Source organism: Homo sapiens, chromosome 14 (assembly GCF_000001405.40).
Source record: "Homo sapiens chromosome 14, GRCh38.p14 Primary Assembly".
NCBI lineage: Eukaryota > Metazoa > Chordata > Mammalia > Primates > Hominidae > Homo > Homo sapiens.
In genome coordinates this window covers 85,965,572-85,979,771 of record NC_000014.9, presented here as the reverse complement: position 1 = coordinate 85,979,771, position 14,200 = coordinate 85,965,572, and the positions used below count along the sequence as shown (strand labels likewise).

At 36.2% G+C, this 14,200-nt stretch overlaps 1 long non-coding RNA gene across 1 annotated transcript in view, besides 1 other annotated feature; it reads right to left on the bottom strand.

Moving 5' to 3' along the window:
* The window catches only part of LINC02328 (long intergenic non-protein coding RNA 2328), a 195,101-nt gene that overhangs the window by 150,007 nt on the left and 30,894 nt on the right, over nucleotides 1-14,200 (bottom strand). The window lies entirely within an intron of this gene.
* Nucleotides 11,943-12,112: an enhancer, noted in NCBI's record as "experimental_38309 CRE fragment used in MPRA reporter constructs". NCBI's record gives its function as "activates a minimal promoter by MPRAs in K562 erythroleukemia cells, with activity observed for the introgressed 14:86434089 variant allele {active_cell/tissue: K562}" and the evidence as "EXISTENCE:reporter gene assay evidence [ECO:0000049][PMID:34662402]".

Below are 14,200 nucleotides of genomic sequence, written 5' to 3'. Positions count from 1 at the left end.
CAACTATTAATTTTTGTCATAATGAGAGAGGCTATTCCCTCTCTTAACCAATAGCTTATATCTTAATTTTCTGAACTCTTACGAGTATGCAAAAAATTACCCATCTTTTACACAACTGTATATACTGCCAACTATCATTGGATTAATTTTTCTAAAGTAGAACTAAATTATATAAGATCTTTGGAAAACAGAGGATATGATATGATTTGGCTGTGTCTGCACCCAAATCTCATCTTGAATTGTAGCCCCCATAATCCTCATGTGTCATGGGCGGGATCTGGTGGGAGGTAACTGACTCATGGGAGGGAGTTTTTCCATGCTGTTTTTGTGATAGTAAGTCTCATGAGATGTGATGGTTTTATAAAGGGCAGTTCCCCTGCACACGCTGTCTTGCCTGCTGCCATGTAAGACGTGTCTTGCTTCATTTTTGCCTTCTGCCATGATGATGAGGCCTCCCCAGCCATGTGGAACTATGAATTAATTACACATCTTTCCTTTATAAATTACCCAGTCTCAGTTATGTCTTTACTAGCAGTGTGAGAACAGACTAATATAGGCATGAAATGTGATTCCTGGGTTTCTTTGACTGTTACTTTTGCTCACTCTGTTAACATGCATTTTTCTAGAATACCTTCTAGATATTAGTTATTGAATTAGACCAAACCTCTGACCTTGGGGAGTTCATGAGTTGATTGTGTTCAGTTTTCCCATCATTCTGGTGATCCTGCAGAGGGCACACTTCAGTTTCTAGATTTCATTTTAAATATTGATTTTCCAACAGTTTAAACAAACAAAGGTCATCCTAGAAAAAGATTTTTTTTTTTAGTAACAATTGTTTAAAATTTTTTTCTTTTTTTTTTTTTTTGCAAACACAAGTGCCAAAAACTCTGGCCTTCATTCACACAAAGTTTCATTTAAACAGATTGTCTTCTTTTCTCAGACTTGAATTTAGCTGGTGACTTGACAGTTGAACAGATGTTCACTTCCATTTCCGTAAGTCTGTATGTTTTGAAAAAGAAGATTAACATATTCACATCCAACAAAAACAAGGGCAGTTAAACCCAAACCATTTGTCTAAGGGAAAGAGGATAGAATTATTTTCATCTTTTGCATTGTGTCCTTTCATATAAATCTCCCTCACTTCACACACACTCACCTTTGGCTCTCAGAAGGAGCCAAAATTTAATTTTTCATGGGAATGTGTAGAAATACATGTAATGAAAATAATATTGTTTATGCAACATCAAGGCTTTCTAGATTTGTCTATCTTTGCCAGCAGCTTTTAAGAACATTCACTTAAAGCAATCTAGATAGTTGTCCTTATTGGAGAAAACATCAAAACCTCCACAAAAAGAAGAAAAAAAATAGAAATGCCCTGGCACTGTAATTAACACTTTGAAACAGAGATCCAGGCTACTTCAGGTTAATTTCAGAGACCCTAGCAAAACACGTATGCACACCTTCTTTATTTGAACCATCCATTCATTATTCTTTTTGTGTGTATAAACCTGGTGTTAATTCAAGCGGAATGCTCAGATGATTTGCTGGTGGCATATTTAAATAAAACACATAATTTTGTAATGTTGGTAAGGAGACAAAATCAGTGAACAGTACTTTGTGGGTAATCTGTTGAGAGGAAAAGAATGAGAGAATAAAAAGTAATGATACTCTGTTCTCTTATTCTATTTAGTGTATAATCATGGTACTCTCTGTTCTGCTTTCATGTAAATTCCTCTCCCCCCAAAAAAAGAAACAACAACAAAACACAAGTATGCAGTTACCCTGGATCTTAAATTAGACAATGCAGGTAGTGATTTATGGATAATGAGCTACATCAACAAGATCCAGGCTGGTGAACTGTGTGGCAGGTTGAATCAAACAAAGCTAAGTTACGTGTGATACTGAGTTCAGTAGATCCCACAGGGGATCCAGAAATCTCAGCCAAGGAGAGCTGCCACGAAAAGAGATACCAAATTTGTATACATATTTATTTAGATTTCACATTTCAAGAACATCCTAATGTACAATAGTCAAGGTGTTACATTTTACCTGAAAAAGTGCATATCATGAATGTTAAATTGTATTAAACAATTTGAAATGTAATGCAGATCATCAATATGATTATAGTTCTATGAAGTTCCATTCATTCACTCAGCTGGTATTTATTGAGGACTTAACTAGATTCATTCAGCAAACATTTTGTGGGCACCTTCCCTGTGATAGTCATATTTGGGGATATTGAGGACACAAAAGTGCTATGTCTCTGGTCCCAGAAATATAAAGATGAATGGCCTATTGTTTCTTCCCTTAAATAGGTGTTGAAAAACCAGATACATAAGCATACCTAACTAATTTGATTCATTGTGATAACAGATAAGATAGGAAGTAATTAAAAACTTATTAGTGTTAAGAGAAAAAATATCTATTAATTTTGAATATATGACAAGGAGCAGGGGAAATTTTCCAGATTAGGTATTGATGATGGTCCATAAGAGGAGTTATGATGTAAGTAGTAAAAACTTGTACTCAGACCTGTGATCAGTAAGATTGTAGTCAGTTTCAATATATTGTTTTTATCTTCTTTTCATGTTGTTATTTCACCTACAAATTTCTATATAAGCTTATAGTCCAAAACCATACCTTTTAATGCCCTTTTTGAATTTTAATGCATTGAAAAGTATGGTTGAATAAGCCATGCACTTGCTATTAGATACCTGGTTGCTTCTAATTGTTCATTAAATGATCGTATACAATTTTGAAAGATTGAAATATGTTCATAGAATTGACCTTCTAGTTTTACACACGCCATTAAAAGTTTGAGGATTGATCTCCAAGGAGACTGATTCTGTTTTAAATGCCACCAGAGACATAAAAGTATTCTAGATTTCCTAGAGTTTATTCAATTTTTACTGGGGCAACCATTCAATTTCAGCTTCTGTAGGGCAGAGACCATTTCATTGACAATACAATATACACTGAGGATTTAGCATAATAACTGATATATAGTAAACAGTAATTAATCATCAAATGAATGAATAAATGAATGAATGTTGAGCACCATTTTAATTTACCTTCATTTATTTAGTAAGTGCATTTTAGCATTATATAGTTTGTTTGTATCCACATTTTGATATATTATTCTATCATCATATAATATCCCCTGTGTACTGCATTAATGTAATAGATTTCTGCCACACACATTTCAGTTCTTAACCAATAGCCATTCTACTCATTTTTTCCTGGCTAACATACACTAATTGCGTTTAGAAGAATTACGTGCTCAATCCCAAAGATAAATAATGACTATCTAAGCATATAGACTTCATCTTTCTTTGCCAGACTTTTGCAGCTAGCTGTGGCCATATCACTTATTTCTTGCCATTGAGTCTATAATCAAGTTTCCTGAAAAGTCTTCAGGGAATTGTTTCTTTCATTTGCTGGAAAAAACAAAAAGGAAAAATAATAACTTGTGGAAAAACCCATTTTTATCAACATCTCCTATGATTATTGGCTTTGAATGAAGTCATGATGTCTGGAGGTGTTGCAGCCATCTGGAAACCATATTTCAATATGCCTGTGATCAAAAAAGCAACAAGCTGCAGACACTGGAGTAGAAAAATGCTCTTGGTAAAAATATTGAGCTGTACTAACCCTGTATTGCCAACCTCCAGGCTTCCTTTTATTTAAGATAATTAACTGTTGTTATTGCTTAAGACACCCTAGGCAAGGTTTTCTATTACTTGCATCCAAAATTCTCCCTGGCACAATTTTATTGGGAAACTTTATGAATGACATACTATACAACCATACATTATACTTTTAGTGTTATCATGACAGTCATTATTGATTAATCTTCTTAAGATTTGAAAAGAACATTACATTCTGTTGCCATCCTTAATTTTACAAATTGATTCCATTTAAGTGTATTCCTTGCAGCTTATTTCAACATATGGAATGAAGAAGAAGATACATTAATTCATCTTTAAACTTAGAATTAAAGCCAATAAGAAAATGTTTTACTATTTTCTGTATTCCTTTTTGATCATAGTTAGGACTTACGTTGTCAATTATTTTAATTTTCTTTCCACTGGTCACTTTTTACGGTTTTTACTATTATGCCAAAAGATTTTGATCATTAAAAATGTTAATATATTTGAAAAACTTGCATGGTAAATTTGTCATCATTAATTTTAAAATATGTTAATCATAGATTAAATTAATATGTTCTTATTTTAATTTTTCTAATAATTTGGCAAGTTCTATAAAATATTCCATGAAGACTTTAATTATCAGTCACTCACTCAAAAAAAAAAACCAGAATAGATCTATTTAATTATTTATTTTTTCTCTATTTATCTAACTGCCAACCAAGGAATTTCACAAATGAATTATGCGTTTCTAATTGAATTAATACTTCAGCTTGGTAATTATGTTCTTTTGGTAGATGAATATTTTGGTAGGCTGATTAATAGCCCATGACATTGTAATCCCTGGAGTCGCTGAATGTTACCTTAGGTAAGAACAACAACAACAAAAAGGACATTACAAATATGATTAAACTTAGAATTTTGGAGGTCTGTTCCAAGGTGGCCGAAAAGGAACAGCTCCAGTCTGCAGCTCCCAGTGTGATCAACACAGAAGATGGGTGATTTCTGCATTTCCAACTGAGGTACCTGGTTCATCTCATTGGTACTAGTTGGACAGTGGGTGCAGCCCATGGAGGGTGAGCCAAAGCAGCGCAGGGCATCGCCTCACCCGGGAAGCACAAGGGGTTGGGGGATTTCCCTTTCCTAGCCAAGGAACGGTGTGACAGACTGTACCAGGAAAATTGGGACACTGCCACCCAATTACTGCACTTTTCCAACGGTCTTAGAAAGTGGCACACCAGGAGATTATATCCCATGCCTGGCTCAGCAGGTCCAACGCCCATTGAGCCTTGCTCACTGCTAGCGCAACAGTTGGAGACAGAACTGTGAGGTGCCAGCCTGGCTCGGGGAGGGCGTCCACCATTGCTGAGGCTTGAGTAGGTAAACAAAGCAGCTAGGAAGCTCGAACTGGGTGGAGTCCACCACAGCTGAAGGAGGCCTGCCTGCCTCTGTGGATTCCACCTCTGGGGGCAGGGCATAGTTGAACAAAAGGCAGCAGAAACTTTGGCAGACTTAAACGTCCCTGTCTGACAGCTCTGAAGAGAGCAGTGGTTCTCCCAGCACAGTGTTTGAGCACTGAGAATGGACAGACTGCCTCCACAAGTGGGTCCCTGACCCCCATGTAGCCTAACTGGGAGACACCTCCCAGTAGGGGCTGACTGACACCTCGTACAGCCAAGTGCCCCTCTGAGACAAAGCTTCCAGAGGGGATCGGACAGCAGTATTTGCTGTTCTGCAATATTTGCTGTTCTGCAGCCTCCACTGGCGATACCCAGGTAAACAGGGTCTGGAGTGGACCTCCAGCAAACTCCAACAGACCTGCAGCTGAGAGACCTGAGTGTTAGAAGGAAAACTAACAAACAGAAAGAAATAGCATCAACATCAACAAAAAGGACATCCACGCCGAAATCCCATCTGTAGGTCGCCATAATCAAAGAGTAAAGGTAGATAAAACCACAAAGATGGGGAGAAACCAGAGCAGAAAAGCTGAAAATTCTAAAAAGCAGAGCACCACTTTTCCTCCAAAGGATCGCAGCTCCTTGCCAGCAACGGAACAAAGCTGGATGGAGAATGACTTTGACAACTTGACAGAAGTAGGCTTCAAAAGGTTGGTAATCACGAATTTCTCTGAGTTAAAGGAGGATGTTCGAACCCATTGCAAAGAAGCTAATAACCTTGAAATAAGATTAGACAAATGGCTAACTAGAATAAACAGTGTAGAGAAGACGTTAAATGACCTGATGGAGCTGAAAACCATGGCACGAGAACTACATGACACATGCACAAGCTTCAGGAGCCAATTCGATCAAGTGGAAGAAAGGGTATCAGTGATTGAAGATCAAATTAATGGAATGAAGCAAGAAGAGAAGTTTAGAGAAAAAAGAGTTAAAAGGCATGAAAAAAGCCTCCAAGAAATATGGGACTACGTGAAAAGACCAAATCTATGTTTGATTGGTGTACCATAAAGTGACAGGCAGAATAGAACCAAGCTGGAAAACACTCTTCAGGATATAATCCAGGAGAACTTCTCCAAGCTAGCAAGGCAGGCCAACATTCAAATTCAAGAAATACAGAGAACACCGCAAAGGTACTCCTTGAGAAGAGCAATCCCAAGACACATAATTGCCAGATTCACCAAGGTTGAAATGAAGGACAAAATGTTAAGGGCAGCCAGAGAGAAAGGTCGGGTTACCCACAAAGGGAAGCACATCAGACTAACAGCGGATCTCTTGGCAAAAACTCTAAAGCCAGAAGAGAGTGGGGGCCGATATTCAACATTCTTAAAGAAAATAATTTTCAATCCAGAATTTCATATCCAGCCAAGCTAAGCTTCATAAGTGAAGGAGAAATAAAATAGTTTACAGACAAGCAAATGCTGATAGATTTTGTCACCAAGAGGCCTTCCTTACAAGAGCTCCTTAAGGAAGCACTAAACAGGGAAAGGAAAAACCAGTAAGAGCCACTGCAAAAACATGCCAAACTGTAAAGACCATCGATGCTAGGAAGAGACTGCATCAACTAACAGGCAAAATAACCAGCTAACATCATAATGACAGGATCAAATTCACACATAACAATATTAACCTTAAATGTAAATGGGCAAAATGCCCCAATTAAAAGACACAGACTGGCAAGTTGGATAAAGAGTCAAGACCTATCAGTGCGCTGTATTCAGGAGACCCACCTCACGTGCGGAGACACACATAGACTCAAAATAAAAGGATGGAGGAAGATCTACCAAGCAAATGGAAAGCAAAAAAAAAGCAGGGGTTGCAATCCTAGTCTCTGAAAAAACAGATTTCAAACCAACAAAGATCAAAAGAGACAAAGAAGGCCATTACATAATGGTAAAGGAATCAATTCAACAAGAAGAGCTAACTATCCTAAATATATATGCACCCAATACAGGAGCACCCAGATTCATAAAGCAAGTCCTTAGAGGCCTACGAAGAGACTTAGACTCCCACACAATAATAATTGGAGACTTTAACACCCCACTGTTAGACAGATCAACGAAACAGAAGGTTAACAAGGATGTCAAGGACCTGAACTCAGCTCTGCACCAAGCGGACCTAATAGACATCTACAGAACTCTCCACACCAAATCAACAGAATATACATTATTTTCAGCACCACATCACACTTATTCCAAAACTGACCACATAGCTGGAAGTAAAGCACTCCTCAGCAAATGTAGAAGAACAGAAATCACAACAAACTGTCTCTCAGACCACAGTGCAATCGAATTAGAACTCAGGATCAATAAACTCACTCAAAACCCCACAACTACATGGAAACTGAACAGTGTGCTCCTGAATGACTACAGGGTACATAACGAAATGAAGGCAGAAATAAAGATATTCTTTGAAACCAATGAGAAGAAAGACACAATGTACCAGAATCTCTGGGACACATTTCAAGCAGTGTGTAGAAGGAAATTTATAGCACTAAATGCCCACAAGAGAAAGCAGGAAAGATCTAAAATTGACACCCTAACATCACAATTAAAAGAACTAGAGAAGCAAGAGCAAACAAATTCAAAAGCTAGCAGAAGGCAAGAAATAACTAAGATCAGAGCAGAACTGAAGGAGATAGACACACAAAAAAACCTCCAAAAAAATCAATGAATCCAGGAGCTGGTTTTTTGAAAAGATCAACAAAATTGATAGACCACTAGCAAGACTAGTAAGGAAGAAAAGAGAGAAGAATCAAATAGACGCAATAAAAAAAGGATAAAGGGAATATCACCACCGATCCCACAGAAATACAAACTACCATCAGAGAATACTATAAACACCTCTACACAAATAAGCTAGAAAATCTGGAAGAAATAGATAAATTCCTGGACACATACACCCTCCCAGGACTAAATCAGGAAGAAGTTGAATCCCTGAATAGACTAATAACAGGCTCTGAAATTGAGGCCATAAATAATAGCCTACAAACCAAAAAAATCCAGGCCAGTCAGATTCACAGCCGAATTCCACCAGAGGTGCAAAGAGAAGCTGGTACTATTCCTTCGGAAACTATTCCGATCAACAGAAAAAGAGGGAATCCTCCCTAACTCATTTTATGAGGCCAGCATCATCCTGGTACCAAAGCCTGGCAGAGACACACACACAAATAAAAGAATTTTAGACCAATATCCCTGATGAACATCAATGCAAAAATCCTCAGTAAAATACTAGCAAACCAAATCCAGCAGCACATCGAAGAGCGTATCCACCATGATCAAGTGGGCTTCATCCCTGGGATGCCAGGCTGGTTCAACATATGCAAATCAATAAATGTAATCTATCACATAAACAGAACCAAAGACAAAAACCACATGATTATCTCAATAGATGCAGAAAAGGCCTTCAACAAAATTCAACAGCCCTTCATGCTAAAAACTCTCAATAAATTAGGTATTGATGGAACATATCTCAAAATAATAAGAGCTATTGATGACAAACCCACAGCCAATATCATACTGAATGAGCCAAAACTGGAAGCATTCCCTTTGAAAACTGGCACAAGACAGGATGCCCTGTCTCACCATTCCTATTCAACATAGTGTTGGAAGTTCTGGCCAGGGCAATCAGGCAGGAGAAAGAAACAAAGGGTATTCAATTAGGAAAAGAGGAAGTCAAATTGTCTGTTTGCAGGTGACATGATTGTATATTTAGAAAACCCCATCGTCTCAGCCCCAAATCTCCTTAAGCTGATAAGCAACTTCAGCAAAGTATCAGGATACAAAATCAATGTGAAAAAATCACAAAGATTCCTATACACCAGTAACAGACAAACAGAGTCAAATCATGAGTGAACTCTCATTCACAATTGCTACAAAGAGAATAAAATACTTAGGAATCCAACTTACAAGGGACGTGAAGGACCTCTTCAAGGAGAACTACAAACCACTGCTCAACGAAATAAAAGAGGACACAAACAAATGGAAGAACATTCCATGCTCATGGGATAGGAAGAATCAATATTGTGAAAATGGCCATACTTCCCAAGGTAATTTATGGATTCAATGCCATCCCCATCAAGGTACCAATGACTTTCCTCACAGACTTGGAAAAAAACCACTTTAAAGTTCATATGGAACCAAAAAAGAGCCCGCATTGCCAAGACAATCCTAAGCCAAAGAACAAAGTTGGAGGCATCACATTACCTGACTTCAAACTATACTACAAGGCTACAGTAACCAAAACAGCATGGTACTGGTACCAAAACAGATATATAGACCAATGGAAAAGAACAGAGGCCTCAGAAATAATGCCACACATCTACAACCATCTGATCTTTGACAAACCTGACAAAAACAAGAAATGGGGAAAGGATTCCGTATTTAATAAGTGGTGCTGGGAAAACTGGCTAGCCATATGTAGAAAGGTGAAACTGGATCCCTTATTTAAACCTTACACAAAAATTAATTCAAGATGGATTAAAGACTTAAATGTTAGATCTAAAACCATAAAAACCCTAGAAGAAAACCTAGGCAATACCAGTCAGGACATAGGCATGGATAAGGACGTCATGACTAAAACACCAAAAGCAATGGCAACAAAAGCCAAAATAGACAAATGGGACCTAATTAAACTAAAGAGCTTCTGCACGGCAAAAGAAACTACCGTCAGAGTGAACGCAACTTACAGAATGGGAGAGAATTTTTGCAATCTCCCCATCTGCCCCATCTGACAAAGGGCTAATATCCAGAATCTACAAAGAACTCAAACAAATTTACGAGAAGAAAACAAACAGCCCCATCAAAAAGTGGGCAAAGGATATGAACAGACACTTCTCAAAAGAAGACATCTATGCAGTCAACAGACACATGAAAAAATGCTCATCTTCACTGGTTCATCAGAGAAATGCAAATCAAAACCACAATTAGATACCATCTTACGCCAGTTAGAATGCCAATCATTAAAAAGGGAAGAGCAGATACTGGAGAGGATGTGGAGAAATAGGAATGCTTTTACACTGTTGGTGGGAGGTAAATTGGTTCAACCAATGTGGAAGACAGTGTGGCAATTCCTTAAGGATCTAGAACTAGAATTACCATTTGACCCAGCAATCCCATTACTGGGTATATACCCAAAGGATTCTAAATCAGTCTACTATAAAGACACATGCACACGTATGTTTATTGCGGCACTATTCACAATAGCAAAGACTTGGAACCAACCCAAATGTCCATCAATGATTGACTGGCTTAAGAAAATGTGGCACATATACACTATGGAATACTATGCAGCCATAAAAAAGGATAAGTTAATGTCCTTTGCAGGGACACAGATGAAGCTGGAAACCATCATTCTCAGCAAACTATCACAAGGACAGAAAACCAAACACCGCATGTTCTAACTCATAGGTGGGAATTGAACAATGAGATCACTTGGAAACAGGGTGGGGAACGTCACACATCAGGGCCTGTTGGCAGGGTAGGGGCCTGGGGGAGGGATAGCATTAGGAGAAATACCTAATGTAAATGATGAGTTGATGGGTGCAGCAAACCAACATGGCACATGTATACCTATGTATCAAATCTACATGTTGTGCACATGTACCCTAGAACTTAAATATAATAAAAAATAAAAATTAAAAGAAATAATTTAGAATTTTGAGATGAGATTACCCTGGATTCTCAGGAGGGCAATCCATGCAATCACATTTGTCCTTATAAGAGGGCCACAAATGGAGAATTTACTACTAAGCTAGAAGAAGAGAAGGCAGTGTGACCACAAAGACAGATTATTGGAGTGATTCATCCACAAGCCAAGAAATGCCAGCAGTTATCAGAAGCTACAGGAGGCAAAGAAAAGATTCACCACTACAGACTGTGGAGGGAGTGAAATTCTGCTGATACCTTGACTTAGGTCCAGTGATACTGATTTTGGACATCTGGCTTCCACAGTCATAAAGGAAGTTTACCTGTTGCTTTAAGCCACTAAGTTTCTAGAAATTTGTTACAGTAGCCACAGGAAACTAATACAAATATCTTTGCTACTGTTTCCATCATTTTTCTGTAGAAACATTACTTATACAATGTATTTGGTTAATTTTACATTTTTTCTCTATTAATTTTTTTATTTTCCTAATATTCCTCTGTAGAGTCGTCATCTGTAAGATGTGCTATTTTCATTCCTTTGTCTCCTATTGCTGTATTTCTTATATGTTTTTCCATTAGAGATATTGCTTGATTTTTCCATTGTGATATTAAATAGAAAGAATGGCAGTCTGTATGCTAATCAATATCTTGTTTTGAAGAATAACAGGTTCTTGTTTATTATCTAGAATGATGGATAGTGATTTATTATATTAATGTATATTTTTGTTTTATACATCTTTAGAAATAACGTGGGTTCTTATAATATTTTACCATATACTGATGTAAAATGTTACTAAATGATAGTTAAATGGATAGCATAATACCTATGAAATGTGTACCTCTTATATGGCATATTAGGTTAATAATTTCTTGAAGGTTATCATCACATGTCTACATTTTATATTGAGCCCTTATTGTTTTATTAAAGACCACTTTGATATTGATAGTTTTTTCACTACTAGTCTAAGAAGGCTACTAAGTCAAGTCTTTGAGTTTCTTCTCTAAAAACTTGGGGATAGGGGTGGCTATTGATAAAAGCTGAAGAGCGACAGATCCAGAAGGAAAAACTTCAAGCACCAAGAAGTAAAATGCCACATGATACCTTTCTCTTTTTGAAAGACACGCTTGTAGAAACGATGGTGCCAAACTGTCCAAGAATAGAGGACTTTAAGGGTAGAAAGTGGTAGATTTAGGGACAGAGTTCTTGTCTAAATTTTCTCAAGGTAAGTAAAAGACATAAATTCAGAGATAGCTTATTAAATGGTGGAGACTCATTCCCTGCTCCAATACATAGTGTTTAAGAGTGACAGGCAATTTGATAGGGAAGAAAGTAGAGGCCAGATCATTAAAATTGAGATCTTGGAAGCCATTGCAAAATCCTCACATAAACTTGGCAAAGAAGCAATGAAACCACAGACCTTAAAGGAAATATGAATGTTTAGGCAGTGAGCCTATAAGACATAATGAGGAATGACTGCAACCTGGAAAACACTTCTCTAAATGTTTTTTAAACAACTTATAACCTTTTCCTCCTTCACAAACTCTACAGGGGAGATTCACCCACAATATGACTGAATTTCTTACAGCCAGGTTGATAGAGTTCAACCTATAAACTTACAGAATGGTAATAATAATAATAAGTCATATTAAAACATTTATTTTCCTTGATTGTAAAGCAAGAAATGTGTATGAACTAAACATGTCTTGCCTTTCTTCACTAAAATTACTTAATCATTCAGAGTAATAATGCATTGAATTCTGTTTAACTTTATCAAAATTCATAAATTACATTTGAATCTCCTTTTTCAGGGCTATTTTGGCTGTTTTTCTAACAATTTATATATACATGTATACACACGCATATATTTGAAACTGCTTATAGAATCCAAAGAATATACTTTACGCATCTGTAGCCATTCTATAGAGAATCCATTGAAACATACTTTAAAAAAATTATTTTAGCAACTTTTACAGCATTTCACTATGTTTCTTGATTATTCTTAGACTTTATTTGCCCACAAAATGAGTCTTTTCCTCATAGTGATCTATGCAGCCTATGCTCACATTAGGTTTCTTGATATATATAGACACAGTTGGTTGACACTGAGTTTATTATCACTTACAACATTTAACATTTCATTCAGATAGGCTTCAAAGTCATTTTCACAAGTTCTATAGTTATATATTTGAATTTACATTCCTAAGTGAAATAGCATATTGAGAATTTTACTAAACTTCATCTTGATAGGTTTACACTCATCCAGTTTAGTGATTCCATCAAATAGTAATCATTAAACCATGTTGAATAGATGAATAAATAGAAGTACAAATGAATGGGTTTGGCAGTTTGATTCTATCATTTTCAAATTTGATAAGCATACACTCTTCCAAATTATTATTTGAAATGTTGCATAGAGGAAGGCAGGAAAAAAGTGTTCCGGGAATGTCTCTTGAAATTTCCCTTAATTTTTATATTAATCTCTTAATCAAAGACCCTTGGTTTCAGTTGTTCAATCACTTATAAACCCAATTTATTTTATTATATCCAGCCACATTTCTCCTTCCTTAACATAATGTTATTATGAGTTCACTGGTCAATACATTGTTGGAGTCCAGACTCACTTACTCTATTACATTTTTCTTGATATATTGGTCTAATAATCTAGGTAAATAAATTAATTAGAAATTAGAATTTGGAATTGCAATTGTATCTAGAAGTAATTCTACTTGCTTTACTAACAATTTCCTCAAGATATTTCAGTGCTATATTGCTTGAGATATATACATTCCTTGTTAGTGTTTTTGTTAGTTCTTACTGTATGTTATATATTCTTTAGAATGATTTTACATTCTTTAAGTTAATTTTTCTATTATATATGTATTATCTGATTCCATGGTTAGGAATGCATGCATTTCTGTTATCCCCATACAAGCCTTGTAAATCCTATATTATTATTTTGTTTCTAGTATATTTGTGTCTTCCTCTTATAAACAAAGTTATGTGAATTTTGTTTTCTGAATCTAGTCTGTCACCACTTATGTTTCTATAAGGTATATTTACCCTTATATATGCACACTTACATTTAACCTTACATACTCATACATACACACATATATGCATATATAATTTATATGTATGCATATATGACTGTATGCATGTGTATCCATATATACACACACACATACACACATACAGACATGTGTATGTGTGTGTGTATATATGGATACACATGTATACACATATATATGTGCATGTGTGTGTGTGTATAATCCTCAACAATTTTGGAAATTTACCTTTCACTATTCTTATTTTTTTATAAATGTATTTGGTATTTAATGAGATCAGATTATTTCCTCCCAACTAGAATAATTACATAAGTCCAGAAGCTGATGGAATATACATATACATAGAAATTGTTATATAAATTTGCAGTAATTTTTTTAATTTCTCAAA